Source organism: Homo sapiens, chromosome 5 (genome assembly GCF_000001405.40).
Source record: "Homo sapiens chromosome 5, GRCh38.p14 Primary Assembly".
Taxonomy (NCBI): domain Eukaryota; kingdom Metazoa; phylum Chordata; class Mammalia; order Primates; family Hominidae; genus Homo; species Homo sapiens.
Genome location: NC_000005.10, coordinates 68,273,147 through 68,290,376, shown reverse-complemented (window position 1 = coordinate 68,290,376; position 17,230 = coordinate 68,273,147). Strand labels below are relative to the sequence as shown.

Below are 17,230 nucleotides of genomic sequence, written 5' to 3'. Positions count from 1 at the left end.
GGCAGGTTGACAAAAGCTGATATGCTGCAGCTCCGAGCTTTTCTCCCCACTTAGTGCATCTGGGTTTATAGATAGCCCAGTCATTCCTTGGTTTAAAAATCTTACAAAGGCATTAAAAGGGTATACTTAAGTTATGTTTTATAGTCCTTAGATATCTCTCATGTATAAGAGAAGCAGTACGGACTACTCCTGGTATTTTAGTCCTCCATAATTCACTGAAAACCCAGAATTCAAACACTGTCACAAATGTACCACATTAGAAAGGACAGTTAAAAGAAAATGTATAGATGTCCTCCTCTACCAAACATTCCAAAGTTAAAACTAGACTTTATAGACTAACAATGAAAATTCTGAATAGGAATGCAGATGCCTATTAGCAGAAATAATAAACGTAATTGTCTGTCAACATTATTAATGAGAATTTTAATGTGACTGCCTAAAAAAACTGGGCAAAGAAAATGCTTCTTCCAAAAAGAAAGAGGCTATAGATCAGAATGCAGAGTGGAGGTATATTTATCTTTGCAAAATATTTCACTGATGAACCCATCTTCGCTACTAATACTGCTTGAACGGGAAGATGATGTAATCACTTTTTTTTTTTTTTTTTTTTTTTTTTTGCTTTTCCCCCTCTATCTCAAATGCCTCACTCCGGGACAAATATTCCTTCTTAGCACTACTTAACATAAATAAATCAATTTTGGCTCTTCAAAGTCATTCTGCATATAATCCTGTCACCCTTATAGGAGCCTACTGTACATTCTCATTGTGAACCAATCTCTCTTTACATTCACAATATTATGATGGCGGGGGGGGAGGGGCTCTTCCCCAAGGTAAATGTGGCTCATTTAAAAAACTACAGTGGGGCTCTGTGATCTATGTACACATGTATGTCACATATTTGACCATTTAAAAAACACAGAAACCCTTGAGACTTTCTGTAAAATTTGGGATCATAAAATATATTAAAAAGCAGACCAAAGGCAAGGCATTCTGTTCTCTGACGTCCCCCGTCTAGTTTAATTCATTTTCCCAGTATTGGGAAAAGCAGGCTCACCTTGTCTCTTCCCACCCTCTCCCACTTTTCTATTTGCCTAAGTTTACCTGAACTCAAATTCAAATAAAAATGGTAAAAGTGGCTGTATGCCCTAAGATTCAGAAAAACATTCTTTTTTAGTTTAATTAAAATGTCGACCCTCCCCCGAAGCAAGGAGACAAGTTCTCCGAGCAGCTGTGGCGGGTGTAACAGCCCAGAGTGCCAGTCCATGCATTTGGGAACCGTCGGTGCAAACCAGTCTGGCTGTTGGATCTTCTGTGGCAAACTAACTCAGGGAGAAGGCAGGGAGACAGGTGATTTTCCCATGGTCTCTCCAAGCCCTGGCCTGGCACCAACTTCCAACCAAGCACGTTGTAATTAGTACCTTCTTACTGAAATTCCAACCTAAACCCTATCTTTCCCAGCCACTGTCCCCCTCGAGGACAGGGGGAGTGTCTCCCCTAATCTCCCATCTGTCCTCCCCAGGCAGCGCTTACAGGGGCGCACGCACACACACGTACTCCAAGACAAACTACAGAAAGGCACCGCTCAGATAAGGAACAGAGAAGTGCACAAATTCAAGGCAACTTACTTTGCAGGTTATGCATTTCAACGGTTTCCCTTTGAAATGCCTGTATCCGACAATGAAAAAAAAAAAATCCCCAAAGCTGTTCTTCCACCAAGTGGGCCAAGCCCCCGCACCTCCCCCCAGCCTGTTCCCGGCAGGCAGTGCTCGTGTCCGGCGCCGAGAGTGCGCGCAGGAGCGGGGGCGCCGCCAGGACCCTCCGGGCGTGCACAGTGGCCCAGCTCCGCTTGGCTCGGCTCGGCTCGTCCCTCCGCCCCACGCCCCGCCCGGCAGTGCGTCCGGGCCACCGCCGCTCACTGCCGGCTCCTCATTGAGAAGCCAACTGGATTTCGCTACTGTATCGGGGAGGAAAGGAGCCCAGGCGCTCGCACGTCTCCCTTAGATAAAGATCGCAGCTTCATGATTAACTTGGGCAGGTTCAAATATTTGCTGAGCTAGGGATTTCGGGAGGGGGAGGGGAGCCCAAGTCAAAGTTGTCATCGGCTGACAAGTGGCCAATGCAAGACCAACTTGCTCATTTTCGCCTGGGAAATGAGAAGGCCATTGTGAGGGGACCTAAAATAGTCTCACTGGCTGCTGAGCGCGCTGGCTGGCTCGCGGGGCTCAAGTAGCCGACAGTGAAGCGAGGCACTATGCACAGCCAAACACAGGAAGTGGCTGAGCTAGTTCAGCAAAAAATAGAATCAAAGCCTCACTTGTAAAGGCCTGAACCTCTTGGAACAACCCAGAACACAGCGCCTCGCTCGTGTCCACCTCTTGCACCTCCTCCCACACACCAGCACAGACAGCCCTGCAGGTGTAACAGGAAAGCCCTTGTGAGCAACTCGGGCAGGGAGGAGATTACAAAAATGTTCAATAGTAAGTAGTAGGAGGGCATCCTCGGACGAATATTAAACCCCACACCATATGCATACTATACTCCATGATCATGTGACGATTCAGAATAAAACAACACTGCGGCTATTTTTATGAGGTCGATTGCAACTCGCATTTAAATGGCCATATGACCTGCTAATTAAAAGGTGTCTCTGCATTAGGTTTATGTGCCAGCTAATGGGGTAAAGGATAGAAGGGCAGAGAAGGGCATACCTTTCTAAGCGGATGTTTGCCCTTTATTTGAGAAAGTGGCAATGGACCAGACTTGGGATTACTGACTACTATTTAATTAAAATTTGATCTAAGAAAATTTTCAGTTGCATGAGCATAGATAGCTTTAAGGTTATCCAGGGAAATCACCAAACTTTACACCAGAAAGTAATTTAGAGTTCACTTCAATCAATTCCTGCATGCCATAGAGGGGAAAACGAAATCTGACCCAGGGAGGTGAAGTGGTTTACAGAAGATTATAGCCCTAAGACTAGAACCCAATCTTCTGATGGTTTCAAATGCCCTTCTCTACCCATTGTCCCTGCTCCTCACTTCCCTTTGCTAGAGAACGTAAAAAAAAATGGACAAAACTGAAGTTAATCTTTTAAGCCACATGCAAAAAATTTCACACCCCTAACAAAACTCTGGTTTTTTCTGTTTTCTATTTTTAGCTTGCTTAAATTAAAACAAAACATTTCATTCCCTTTGAAGACATAGGTTCTTTCAATAATACCCTCATACTCTGCATGGGAAAGTGATCCAGTGGTCACATAAAGTCCACACAGGCCAACAGCAGCAACTAGCTTCAGGGTTACTTGAAATATCTGGAAAGTGCTGTTAAACCCACAATGAAAGTGATTTTACAAACTTTCCTTTAGTGCAACTGATATAATATTGAAAAACTTTCCCAATGGAAATAACAGTCTATAAGTGAATCTGCCATCTGATCATAGGGACATATGGTTAGTTCAGAGAATACCCTTGCATCCTGAGCTGCATAATCTTGCCCTACTTTTAAAAATAGCCTTTCTAAAGCTAGAAACATTGGAAACATCAGTCTCCTAAGCATACCTGTCTGGATTCACATGATGTTTCATGTCAAAACCTTCTAAGATTAAAATGCTCTGTTAAGTCCACCAGTATATTTTCTGTTTCAGAAGAAAATAAGCCACTGGAAAGCAGTACTCTCTCAACGTATAGAAAGTCTTGAAATAGATTGGAAAAACTTTGCCTTAAACAAATTTCTCACAATATGTACAATCATCTACCAAAGAGGTCCTATTATATTAGGAAAGTGTGAGCTGAATCTTTTTCCCGTTGAATTTTAGTGTTTAAAAAGTGATCTGCAAGACACATGTTCTTTATTAGCTTAAAAAAGGGAGCCCTCTGCTGGTAGAACTGAATCAGTAATTCCTGCTTTGGGAGAAAACCATCAACTTTCTGTATATTTCGTATGTCCAAATTTGACACCAACTAATGTACATAATTGTATTACTGTCACTTGATCTATATGACTCACTAATTAGTAAATCAAAAGTACAGTTTTCACGAAGCTGCTAGTGTTGTAGGAAAACTTTTATTTTAATGTCAGCATTTCTCTGGGACCTCAAAGGCCTAGACACACTGGAAAACTAACTTTACCTTCTGGATTCTTTAAAACAATATGTATCATTCTCCCTTTCCTCAAAGTTTCGTAAAACTCATTTCAGAGGCAAATACAGCCCATTGTTTCACTTCTCAGCAGATATAGTTAGGAAAATGTCTCTTGATCCTTAAACTGTTCAAAAGTTACAAACTGAATACTATATTTCATATGTACAAGTCACCATCAAGTGGCAAATGTTGCACAAGCAGCTTTCAACCTAGAAAACTTCTTCTTTTTCTGGACATCATTTATGAACAAAGACCATGAAAAAAAGAATAGACAACAAAAATTAACCAAAATCTTCATCTAAGGGTAAAATGAATACCTCTCTTCATAATTTTAACTTAAGACAACTTAGAACAGAGGGCCTTTTAGGGTAATTCAAATTATTTGCTCCATATCCACTGGTCTTAACTGACATTATGCTAAGGAAAACATCCATTTAAGTATATAAATAAGCCCAGGTTTACGTATGTATAAACTCTGACACATTCTACCAGGTTTCTGATAAAGGCATCCCCACTGCTTAGCAGAATAAAGTAGTCCCCCCTGCAATTCTCCCTCAGATCTTTGTCCCTTGAGACAAAGAGACATCTGCACTGTGAAAACAAAAGTAAAACTGACTATATACCCCTCCTAAACACATACATACCAAAATACCTGTGTCTCTCAGGACACAAATAAAACTATTGTTTGACAAAACCTAGTGTGGCTTGCCCGTTTAGTTCTACGCATCTACAAACATGTAATTTTTCAAAGTTTCATTTTTCACCTTTGAAGCAACCCTCTAATGTCAGACCACATTTTAAACCAATAAAAATTAAATCAGAGACAAGTAAAACTCTTTGAATGTCATTTCCCTCTACCTTAGTGCTTGCCTTTAGTCTGGGTTGAGAACCAAGCCCAGAGCATTTAAAACAAGATTTATGAATCAGGCTCTTCAGGATGAATGTTTTGCAATGTGCCAGTGGTTAAAAATTAACTTTGACAGGTGTAGAAGGGCAAGGGGTAGAAAGAGTCATTTATTTTCCACTCTGGGCTTGAGGGTGCAATATTAGACTTCAATTATATTACATTAATATTTCTGAATATATCCATGAAATCTGAAATATGTAAATACACTTATAATGGGTTTCATTCAAAGGCACCCTGTGTTAAATAGACTTATTTTTACCTTGGTTTGCCTACAGAAATCTACTTTACCTGCCTAAGCATTAATTGGGTAAAGATAACACAATGATTCAAGAAAAAAATATTGAAAGCCAAACGACAAGTTAAGACTTTTTAGTAACAAAATAGAACAGCAAACTATCAACAAAGTCTAGAGAGCTTACTCTGTGCCCTACCTTTTCCAAATCTTAGCTTCCCTCTGTAAATGAGGAGAATCCTTATTTCCCAGGATTGCTGGATGTATTAGATGTGTTGATGTATTACTATTCTTTGAAAGTTGGAAGTTTATCAAAGAAAAATTTAGATAATTATTATGCTGTACCTAGTTCTCTGCTAGGAAGAGCTCAAAAGGAGAAAAAGCCTTTACCCCTACCCTTTAGAAATGTAATTAAGCAGATGAATAGGAAAAACTATAGACAGTTAAACATAAGGTGACAGGAAGCTTAAAGGCATAAACATACTGAATGGGTCGACTTAACTTGCATATAAAACGGGAAGGACCTACTTGAGTGCAGATAAAGTGGATGGCACTGCTTGGGGCAGCGACGTATGGTTGCATATTTTGTGCACTGTGCAAAGGCACCTAGGCAAGATGGAGGAGTGGTGATGAAATCTAGGCTGCTCCATTCACCAAGCCACATATTCATACAAAGGCACCTTTCTCCCTCCAAGCAATGTACCCACATCAGGGTGGCAACTTCCCAAGTGTCCCTTTTAGCCCCTACAGGCTCCTAGAGGCCGTAGCTCTGCTGGCTGGGAACATGGCGTCAGTAAGGAAAAAGGCCTGACAGGATTCACACAACTAATGAGGAATGGGTGGACTGAAGGAATCAGACCTGCTGAATGAGGACAGCTCCCATAAGGCCTCAAAAGCTAGAGTTGATGCGATAGATAGCAGAGAAATTATCAGTTCATTAAATCTCATACCAACCCCAGGAGAGAGGCATTAACCCAATTCCACAGTCTGGAAAACAATTTGGAAAAGCTGAGTTACTCGAGAGAGTTGAGATTCCAATCCAGATCTATTTGAGTCAGAAGCCCACTTTTTTTTCCACTGCACAGCTCATGGAGTGATTTGGAGCCTTATCCTGAAAAGTATAAACATTGCCCTGACTTTGTTTACTATATGTGACCCATGGGGGCTAATTTCACATATTTTTAGTTTATTACATGCTGGAAACTTCAGAGGAGTTTTTGATTGGACACTAAAAGCAGCCTCATTGCTCACGAAGTTTCCAAAAATCCAGGCAGCAGGGCATGGCAGATAGAATGGGCTGGAGTGTAGGAGGCGGCTCCTGGGCAGACCCGGTTTGGGCCCATACTGGCCGGGTAGCACAGAGCGAACCTCTATCTGTGGGCCTCGGTTTCCTCATGTCCAAATTGGTAAAGCTGGACAATGCTTTCAACTCTAAAATGATGTTTTTTGTGATACTATCACTTAAAATATGTACTGCTTTTGTAAAATACCAAGCCATTATTTTGTACTGTGTAATTTATTTTGAATAAGTCTTTAAACTCCATGCATCAAAATGCTATTTCTCCTTTGCCTATTCAAATTGTACCTATTCTTCAAGGCACATTTCAAGCCCTATTTCTTCTATGAGCCTTTTCTGTCTACTCCATTACCCTAGAAAGTCACCAGCTGCATTTCTAAAGTTCTTTTTGTACTTAGAGTATGTGTACTCCCACCTAGCATTTAATTAGATACTATGTGCTAATGGCTCTTATTTGAACTGATACTTTGCCTCAAACATCATAAGCTTTGTCATTTCAAGTTCTATCTGGTAATAATTAGAAATGCTGTCTATCTGCCCTATAACAGAGTCTTGCTTTTGTCTCCCTTAAACATCATTCAGGTACTCATTTGTGTTCACAACAATGTTACTGTAAATGGCCATTCGCTGGAGATGTAAGGTGCTGTGCTTTCAAAGTTCTGTCTGGTACTAGCACATGCTGTGGCAATGCTGAAGGACTCTAAGAAATTATTGCATTTTTTAAACCAGGCCTAAGAATCATTTCTTCAACCCAGGCTGCCATAGCAGTCATTTGCACTGGAGCCATTCCTGAATACGAAGATGTTCTGGATGGGGACGTTTTGTTCCTGGAGTGGGCAGTACAATGTATGCACACATGAGAGACACTAAAACAGCCATTTAATTCCAAAGGTCCTATACAAATCACACAAACTTCCTGGGAAAACGGCTCAAACTAGAGTTTAAAACCGACTTGGATTTAATTTTTTTTAAGAGGCCACATAAATACTGGGATGATCTAGCAAATGTTCAAGGCTTTGTCATCCTTTAGCAGAGCTGATGGAACTAATCCTCCTTTGAAACAGGCGCACCAATTGCTCAGCAGAGAAATGTAGGGTCCTTTGACATATCAAACAGCTTTCCGGGTGGCATTATGAAAATAGTGCAGATACCCGTTTTTACTTTGGTGGAATTAGGATGAAACTAACAAAGGCGTTTAACTAGTTTACACCAGTCAGGCTAATCAAACTCTACCACTGATTCTGCTATACCTTGTGTAGTAGAAATTCTCCAAAATTCCATGTGATAAATTCATTTGTGGGTATCTGTCAAACCCTGTCTGGCTTTGGCTTCCATGTGTCTCCTCTCTCTAGAGGAGTGGCCACTGAAAAGATCAGGACTACCCACTAGCCCTTCACTGAGAGCAGGGTCCAGCTCTACCTAGTCTCTAACATAAACCTCAACTTAAGTGCCATGTGCCACACCCCTACCCCAATTCTTTTCCACTAAGTCCAAAGGCAGCCTCTGAACACCAGCACAGAGCTCCCAAATCCATTCACAGTGACCTGTGTACTCACACGAGATGAAGCCTTTTGGCCAACCCCTGGACTGAAGTCCTAGTCCCTACCTGTTGACAGTCTTCTTTGACGTAGTTTACCTAGAATTCTGGGCACCCCTGTTAAAACATTCTGCTTGCTGTGATTTGGAACATCCCATGCTTGCCTTATCTACTATACCGGATACCTCTCTCTCACCTTTGGTACATTTTGGGCCTGTCCACATAAACCTTTCCCAATACCCGCATCTTCAGTGTTTACCTACCCTATCCTCTATCCTACCTGCTGCAGGTGGGTTTTGAGTCTAGGCCCTGGCCTCTCTTAGGCTGCCCCATCCAGATGCAAGTAACCAAGCCTGGCTGTGCAATACCCAATTAAGAAAAAGCACAACTTAACTCTCCATTGCATGAAGATGAAACTGAGTCCCCATGCCTGCTCATACAGAGATAAATATGGTAATCTGCATATATTACCTATAATAAATATATTCATGGAGTTTCATTTTAAGTTCCAGGCATAAATTAAGACTACAAGCAACACCTTTTACTGGTCCTGAAACTTCACACGTATAGTACCCTAATTACTATTCTAAATGACCAGTGTCGATTAGCTAACTTTTAACTGGTATATAGCAAAATGAGGTTGTTTAGACTTTCCACGGTAGAAGAAAAATACATCAGTTTAAATTAAATGCATTGCTAACATGGTCTACATTTCCTGCTTTGTTAAATGGCTAACTGAACAGCAGCCTGCTTTCAAAGAAGTGTCTGGCTTGCTCGAACTTGCTGCAGGGAACACTGGTTTCATACTGCTTGCATTATTGAAAATGTTTATTTTGACAGGCATTTCTCAGCATACCCACTTCCAAAAAACACATTCTAAAATACTTTAAATTATATAGTAATTATAAATCCCCTACTTTGTAAGTATTAGAAAGAAAAACAAAAATGTCAACAACTAAAATGAACTCCATAAATCTCTTCAACAACCTGAAGCATAAATGTTGAAGGGTACAGGGAACTCTCCAAACTCTCACCTAAAACCAAGATAATTTAAAATCCACAAATGTTGAAACTCGGATAATAATTAACATATACACTACCACTCAGCTATTTTTTCTTTAAATCACAAGGTAACATATTACTACCAACTGTAATTCCATAAGAAGCTGTGTTACTTCAAAGGAGGTTTATAGCCATCATTTTTTAAGGCTCTAAAAAATGAACAATGAGAGAATGTTAAATGCTCAAAAAGCATTACCTGGTGCAGGCTGTCGTTCATTCCATTCAGTTGAGATTAAAATTTCTATAACTTTTATGAGGTTTTCAGTATTATCAGAGCTGTAAGAAAGAGAGTTTATTAGAAACCTTTTCCCTAAAAGCAAACTCATTTTCATTTATATACACTCAAGTGAATGTGTGTGATAGCATCTGCACATGCATCTCTGGAGTAGTATATTCAGAATACATTTTCATGACCAATCCATTTAGGACTACCCTCATCACCCCAAAATACATGTTTGTCTCCTTTCACTTACCTGGCTGCTGAGAATCTGAAAAGCATAGGGCTGAAAATTTCAGAGAGTACTCTTGCATTCAACAGATTTTTGCTGGAGGTTTGAGAGAGCTTGAAGAAATGTTTTAACAAATACTGAAGCGTAAGCCAATACTGATGAGGTATGCTAGGCGACCTAATAAGCTTCTTCAATAGCTGAATATATTCTTCGGAGCTTTGTACTTCTACAAGTTTAAAAAAAAAAAAAAAGAGAAATGAGTAAGCGACTACTTCCAGGTATCAGTGAATAAACACCTAGAAAAGTTCTGCTCTTTCTTCAAGCTATAGGAGTCATTTAAAAAGTTGTTGGGAGAAGCACACAGTACATTTGTCCTTCTCATTAGAAAACGCATTATGAGAAAGTAGAAATCTCAGGTCAAATGGAAATGCAAAAAGCTCAGTGTGTAAAGAAACCACAAGCTGTTCAGGGTGTGCTGGCAGCAACTTACCCAGTATTGAGCAGCTTCAAGTGTGATTGGCTAACTCAGAGGAGCATCAGATAAGTATCACAGGTTTTAACTTTGAAGGTTACGAACCAGTTTCCTGTCCCCAAAGCACTTAACTGAACCTTATCTCCTAAAACTGAGAGCCATCTTCCCTCAACACATTCTGTTATGGCCACTCAGGAAAGATGACAAGAACATCCCCCATCACTGGATTCTAGTCCCAGTTCCTTGAATCTGACACTAGTACTTGGAAGACCGTGTCCTTCATTGACGTACAAACTTTGTTAAGACCAATAGGTTAACAATGAGCCATTTCTGATTCTGACATGCAGACGGGCTTCCCAAGCAAATGAGAATCTGGGTCTTCTCTTGGATGCTTGGGTGGAGGAGGAAATTTGAGGTGGTATTGTTGGGGGAGGGACAGGTTATTACTACTATTTTCTAACCACTATTTCTATATATGCAAGACATATACAAGCACCTCTACATCTCCATGTATGTTCAATGAGGTTCCCAGAAGAGAAAAAACAAACCTGGAGCTAAAGAAATCATTTCACTGTAAACGGCTGCTGGAATGACAGGATTTGGTAAGTCCAGGAGATAGCGTTTGAAAGCGTCAGCCAAAACGTGCACATCGATCATTTCCAAGTCCACGGAGGGTGTATCTAGGAAACAATTTAAGAAATATTTCAGACATTTATTTTATAGAATACATCAGTTGGGCTAATTTTCTGAACAATTTGACTCACATGTGACAAAAAAAAAAAAAAATAAGGAAGCAATATGAGGATAAATACAAGACACAAAGTATTCGTTAGCCGTACTTCTTGTAGGGGTTGCTCCGGGCATTTGGGGTAGAACAATTTTTCCTGTGGAGGTCTCTCTGACATATTGCAAGCACTTAGGATGCCTGACCCCCTGCCCATGATGCCAGTAGCAGACCTCCACACTTTGGGGCAACAAAAAATAATGCCTTTGTTATGGGCTGAATTGGGCTGCATCTTCAGTGGTTACCTACCCCATCCTCTGTCCCACCCCTCTAAGCCCAAACTCCTAATGCCTCAGAAAGTGACTGCATGTAAGTTAAAATGAGGCCATTAGAGTGGACTCTAATCCAATGTAACTGATATCCTTCTAGGAGGGGAAATGAGGACACAGAGAGAGACACACTAGGGATGCACAGGCACAGAGGAGAAACGCTGTGAGGATGCAGTGAGCAGGTGACCATCTACAAGCCAAGGACAGAAGCCTCAGGGGAAACCAAACATGCTTTTTTCTCGGACTTCTAGCCTCCAGAACCACGAGAAGTAAGTTTCTGCTTTTTGAGATGGAGTCTCACTCTGTAGCCAAGGCTGGAGTGCATCTCTGGTGTGATCTCGGCTCACTGCAACCTTCACCTCCCGGGTTCAAGCGATTCTCCTGCCTCAGCCTCCTGAGTAGGTGGGATTACAGGTGTGTACCACCACGCCTGGCTAATTTTTGTATTTTTAGTAGAGACAGGGTTTCATCATGTTGGTCAGGCTGGTCTCAAACTCCTGACCTCGTGATCCACCCGCCTCAGCCTCCCAAAGTGCTGGGATTACAGGTGTGAGCCACTGTGCCTGGCCAAGTTTCTGCGTTTTAAGCCACGCAGTCTGTGGTAACTTGTTATAACTGCCTGAGCAAACGAATACAGAACCCAAACATTTCCTAACATCCTCTGAGGGTGGTTCTGCCCTGACTGAAAAGGGTTCTAACTAGGAATGGTTAGTCATATAGTAAATGTTTCCTAAAACCTCAACAGGAAAAATTTAAAAATGCATATTCCCAGATTTCCTAAGACTTGAGTTGATATGTCTCAGAATTCATGTAAATGTCACCAACAGAGTGATGGATTCAACAGTAAGATACTACAGACTTTTAGCAACCAATCTCAAGAATATCCATGAAAATAATTTGAACATTTTTAGAATGTTTCTCCCTAATTCTGTCTGAGTATTACTAATCTAACCTGTGGATATCAGACAATCTCAGAAAATAAGATGAGCATACCTGTCCAGTAAATCCCTCAGCTGGGAAACAGGTCAAGCAATCCAATAATGGGGGTAAAACTAATCAATACCACCCTCCAGGCACTCACTACGCATGGCACTCTAAGTACTTGGGTTGGAAAAAGACACAATGCCCAGCAGAAGAAAGGGATGCTAGAAACAAAGATCTGGGGGCAGGGGTGACCATGGGCCTCTAGAAAAGGAGAGGACTTTGGCTGCTGCTGAAGGATGTACACTAGCAATGCGAAGGATAACTTGAGGAAAGTAATCTGGGGACTTGTGTACTCAGTGGAGCAAAGGTGGGCTGATGGGCAAGATACTACGTTTGTAACAGCTTTACTAATGACAGTGTTAAGAATAAATTGGAAGGGAGTGCTGCTAGAAGTAAAACTACCAGATTTAGTTCTCTGAATCAAGGTGATGGGGGTCTGAATTCTAATGCAGTTAGAAATGTACAAAATATTATCGAGACCTCATATAACTCGGTGATTGACTGCATTGGGCTGTGGCCTAGGAGAGAATGAGGAAGTATGAAAGTTTACTGCAAAGTGTTTGAGTATAAATGAGTGGGAGAAGGTAGTATCCTAGATAACCTTGAATGGAATATGACAGTACAAATCATTCTAGGTTGAGCCTAAGACTACAAAAATTCCTTGGACATATCATCATAAACCAAACTTGCCCCACTAGGTAGGCCGACGTTCCGAAAGTGAGTCACACAACCACACAGCTCTAAGAAAAGTAGGTCTGGAATAGGATATGGATAGGTCAACTTGAGGAAAAGAATTATTAAATTTAAAAGGTGAAGAGGCGAAGTGTTAAATCACTTAAATGTCCTACAAACAACCAACCAGAGACATATCACATGTTTAACAAGTGTGGGAGGGGCAATACCACTGTAGTAGATCCTCTGCATAAAGGATCTACGTTGAAGGTAATGCAATTGTGAGCATAATTAAATACTGTCAAATAAAATTGTGTGTGTGCTGCTATAGGAATTCTCTATGGTCACCACTCTTGGCCGTGCTTCTGGTTTCCCATACACTTTGCCCCGCATGTTTCATCTAATGTCTCTCTGCCCGGAAAATTAATATTACCGAATTTGCTTATCCTAAAATATGTGATAAAACATTTGGTGATGCAGTATAAACGTTAAGATAATAAATATGCACACATCCCTCCCTCAGGCAGGGTTTCCCTCTGTGCTTCTGCAGTGCTAATGAGCCACCCCTCTAACAAGACACTTCCCAAGGAGTATAATCATAGTGTGGGATTATGTGTTTCCCTACTAGACCGAGGTACGTCAAGGGCAGGGACTGTGGCTGTCACCTGCTCTTCTGGCATCCCTCAGTGTCCAGCACATACAACGTGTTAAATGTTTGTGGATTGAACTAGAAGGCTCAATCCACAAGTGAAGTTAATTCATCAAAGCCCTTTTCCAACACATGAGGTATATCAAAAGAACTTTCATAGTATATGAATAAAATTATCCTATGCAGGTCTTTGGGTAACCTTACCTTATGTCAAATTCTACTAGAGCTAGTGACAAAGTCTGTTCTATTTATCTGACTTCTGCTCTCTAAGAATCCTTTTCTGCATTGAAACTGGCCTAACGTGCTCTTCCATTAGCTATTCCTACCTGTCATGCGATGACTTTTGAAGAGCTACATAATCTTTAGGTCTGGGTTGGAGGTGTTTGCATTCTCTCCTACCTCACTTTTCACTGAGTCTACTCATGACAGGTACCCAGTAAACTCTCCAACCCTTCACTCCTCCCTCCCTCCCCCTGGAATGGAGTCTCCTCTTCCTTAGGTCTCTCCCTAGGTTAGTGGTTCCCAGTGGGAGTGGGATCCTGCCCTCTGCCATGAGCCATCTGGCAATGTCTGGAGACATTTCTGATTGTCACAACTGGGGGAGAATGCTGCTGGCACCTCATGGGTAGAGGTTAGGGATGTGGCTAAGCTTCCCACAATGCACGGGACAAGCTCCCACTCTTCCAGCAAAGAATTATCCAGCCTAAAATGTCAATAGTACCAAGGCTAAGAAAGCCTGAATTAGGTTAAATGAAACCAAAAACTGTCAGGTGAAAATCTGAATCATTAAAACTTGCATGAGACAAAGAAACAATTCATTTTAGGGCAAAATTAAAAAAGAGAAAAAAATCAAGGACTTTTGGAGTCAGAAAAATTAGCCACTAAGGCACTGAAAAATGTGAAAGAAATTATTTACCTGAGGGTCAGCTTTCTTTTCTGGTGAGTTAAAGTTACTAGGACATACATCACAAAGTTAATGTATGGATGAACTAGCATAACAGGTGCTAATAAAAGTGGGCTATTGTCTGCCATGTCTGTCCTTTTCAAAGACTGGTAATTCACAAGGTTAGTTAAAAGCCATAATTTTTTTTTTTAGGTGTAAGTGACTATTTTGGAGCTTCCTCCAGGATATTATACAATGTTTTTATGTATTGAAAAATCTTTGAGTTGGAAACAGATCTGGCAGATCCACTCCCAAGTTTGGACATCATTTATTTATTTATATTTTTTGGGGTGGGGCACAAATTTCACTTTTTTTTAGCACAGACTCCAAATGAAACCAGTTTTCTATGTGTTTTGATCTCACTGGGGAAGGAAACCTGTTGGTCAAAATGTACCATTGACGTGAATCTTGGTTGTTGACTCTATCTCACGAGTGGTGTGAAGAGTTTTTTTTTTTTTTTAAATAACTAAACTGCATCATTTTGTGTTGATCACATTATAAACCTAACCACTATTTCTCAAATAACTTCCACTTCATCGGGCTCTGATGTCTAAACTCTTCCTGTGACTAAACGTGTTCATAATTTGACCAATTTTCTGACCCAAACATGTGTCTTCATTTCAATTGGCTAAGGACAAAATTCAGCGTTTCCTTAAAGCCCTGATAAAGCTGTCAGAAACACCGAAAAACAAGCCTTTTCACCTTGAGTGTTCTGCATGTTAACTTCTAATGACCTGCTCTGTGGGAAGTGCAGGAGGCAGAGCAGCAAAGAGGATATGCTCTGTTCGCATGCAACTGATTTCCATGTACAAAGGAAAAATGGAGTTAAACATTTTTTTAACTTTTGAAACATCTGGTCAGAACATTTCAAGTGTAAGAATTTACTGATACTGATAAAGGTCTAGTCTCCTCCTTTTCTCCAAAAAAACCTCTTTTCTAAAAGTCTCAGAAGTTGCCTCATTTTGAAACTGCCTCATGCTTCAAATTCTCATTTACTGTCATGTGGGCATTCTTTGTACAATTATACCTCTGACGGAGTCCAAAACTGAGTTTCACTCTTTTTGGCTTAAACACCTAATTTCAGTTAAAATGATGTGAGGCAGTATATAATTTTTTTAAGCGTTATGAGGGAATGAAGGATCTTGAAAGATTTATAAGAAGATGACTTGCTGGAATGCTGGCAAGTAAATTGATTTGTAGTTTTTCATCTATGCCAAAGGAGGGAGTGGGTGTTTGGGGTACTAAAGCCCTCTTGGCTAAATTAATTAGTGTTATTTAACAAACTGTCCTCAATTCTTCCCAATTCCACATCCAGTGACATCATGTTGGTTAGCTTGAAATAAGCCCCGGTGGGAATATTCATGCCACAAAAATGGGCAGATGCTACAAACCAGGGCCTTTTTCTTCCTAGAGAGTTGGTTTATCAGCACACCACTGAACATAACAATATCGTGATGTTACTTAATGCACTCAACACAAAAAAAGAAAGAAGGCAAGCCAGAAAGAAAGGGAAACGGAAAAGGAAAATGGAAGGGAAAGGTAATAAAAGAAAAAGGATGTCAGAAGAGACATTTCTTAAGTGACATAGGCTTAAAAATATTTTTTAATTGATTCAGATGAATTAGATGTAGCCAAATTCAGGGTCAAGGAAAGATGGTAGATACACAGAGCGAGAGAAACACCAAGAGGTGGTTTCTCTCCTCTGCAGGACCCAGGGCCTGATGGCTATGATGATGACCAACATGCCTGCAGGGAGGCGTGCACACACTTGCAGCCCAACTCAGGAGAAAAATTTCAAAGGTTTGCACTGTTACCATAACAGGGCAGGGAGAACTGTACATGATTTGAGTTCCCTTTAAATTTAGAACACTGCATAGATTAAATTCAATTTTGTGTGTGTGCATTACCTGAAACAGAAAGCCAAGACCTGTCTTTCCCATTTGCATTTCTAGCTCTGTGACACTCACCACAATCAAGAAGCTGTCGTAATTCTGCCAGGTTGCTGGAGCTCTGTGTTCTGTATAGAGTTGAACATTCCAGACCTAGGACACAAAACAGACCACAGACCATGTATGCAAAACACAGCTCTCTGGAGAACCTGTGAGGCTGCTGCCAGAGACATTCCAGTTTCCATCCAGTATCTGTTCTAGATGTGTACCAAATATTCTTGGAAGTCAACTCCTACTATTAATCTTACCTGGCATGTTGATAATTTTGGCAAAACCATCTGGCCTCTAAGAAGAAAGTTAATCATATTTATTAAATTATGAAGAATTTAATAGTTTCCATATGGAAACTACATGATAATCTAGAGTTAGAAATTATAGACTGAGACATTTTTCCCAGTACTTAGCCCCAAACAGTTTGAGTGTCCAGCAGAGTATCTGGACATAGCTGGTAGTAGGAAATTTACTTAATGAATGCACAAGAGACAAATAATAAGAGCCATGAAATAAGGGTAGAACAAAGGAACTGATGCCCTCTAGCAGTCTGGTTACCTTTCTTTTCAATGGCTTCCACGAGCTTGATAAGAAGAGGCGGGGCAATGTCAGGAGGGGCAAACTGCTCTGCAAGATCCGGGAGAGTCAAAGCTGCAAACAACAAAATCCCACCATTGTATTTAATTTGGATAGTTGAATGCATTAGACCACAATGAAGGACGTACAAAATAATTTAATTACATCAGGCCCGAGCAAGAAGAACCCCTGCTCTGGGCTTTTGCACTTTCCAGGCCAAAGTGATATGCCCACTGCTTCTCACCTAGGGTCTACTCAGAGTAATGCTCCAGGATTTCCTGCTAAATGGCCTCTTATGGCCTTTCCCCCAGGTCCACC

At 40.8% G+C, this 17,230-nt stretch overlaps 1 protein-coding gene across 7 annotated transcripts in view, besides 2 other annotated features; it reads right to left on the bottom strand.

The window, feature by feature from the left end:
- Positions 1–17,230, bottom strand: part of PIK3R1 (phosphoinositide-3-kinase regulatory subunit 1) — an 86,066-nt gene that overhangs the window by 11,445 nt on the left and 57,391 nt on the right. For 6 of the 7 annotated variants that reach the window (XM_005248542.4, NM_181523.3, XM_017009585.3 and 3 more), the window contains 5 exons: positions 16,895–16,987; positions 16,364–16,438; positions 10,644–10,775; positions 9,648–9,849; positions 9,371–9,450 (listed from right to left, as the gene is read on the bottom strand). In XM_005248542.4, the coding sequence (XP_005248599.1) occupies positions 9,371–9,450; positions 9,648–9,849; positions 10,644–10,775; positions 16,364–16,438; positions 16,895–16,987 (582 nt within the window). Of the gene's footprint in view, positions 1–1,625; positions 1,859–9,370; positions 9,451–9,647; positions 9,850–10,643; positions 10,776–16,363; positions 16,439–16,894; positions 16,988–17,230 lie in introns of those variants that run through there. The other variant, NM_181524.2, reaches the window with a different exon arrangement.
- Positions 1,825–1,924: a silencer, noted in NCBI's record as "silent region_16074". NCBI's record gives its function as "represses an Ori minimal core promoter by ATAC-STARR-seq in GM12878 lymphoblastoid cells {active_cell/tissue: GM12878}" and the evidence as "EXISTENCE:reporter gene assay evidence [ECO:0000049][PMID:35858748]".
- Positions 15,166–15,215: an enhancer, noted in NCBI's record as "active region_22630". NCBI's record gives its function as "activates an Ori minimal core promoter by ATAC-STARR-seq in GM12878 lymphoblastoid cells {active_cell/tissue: GM12878}" and the evidence as "EXISTENCE:reporter gene assay evidence [ECO:0000049][PMID:35858748]".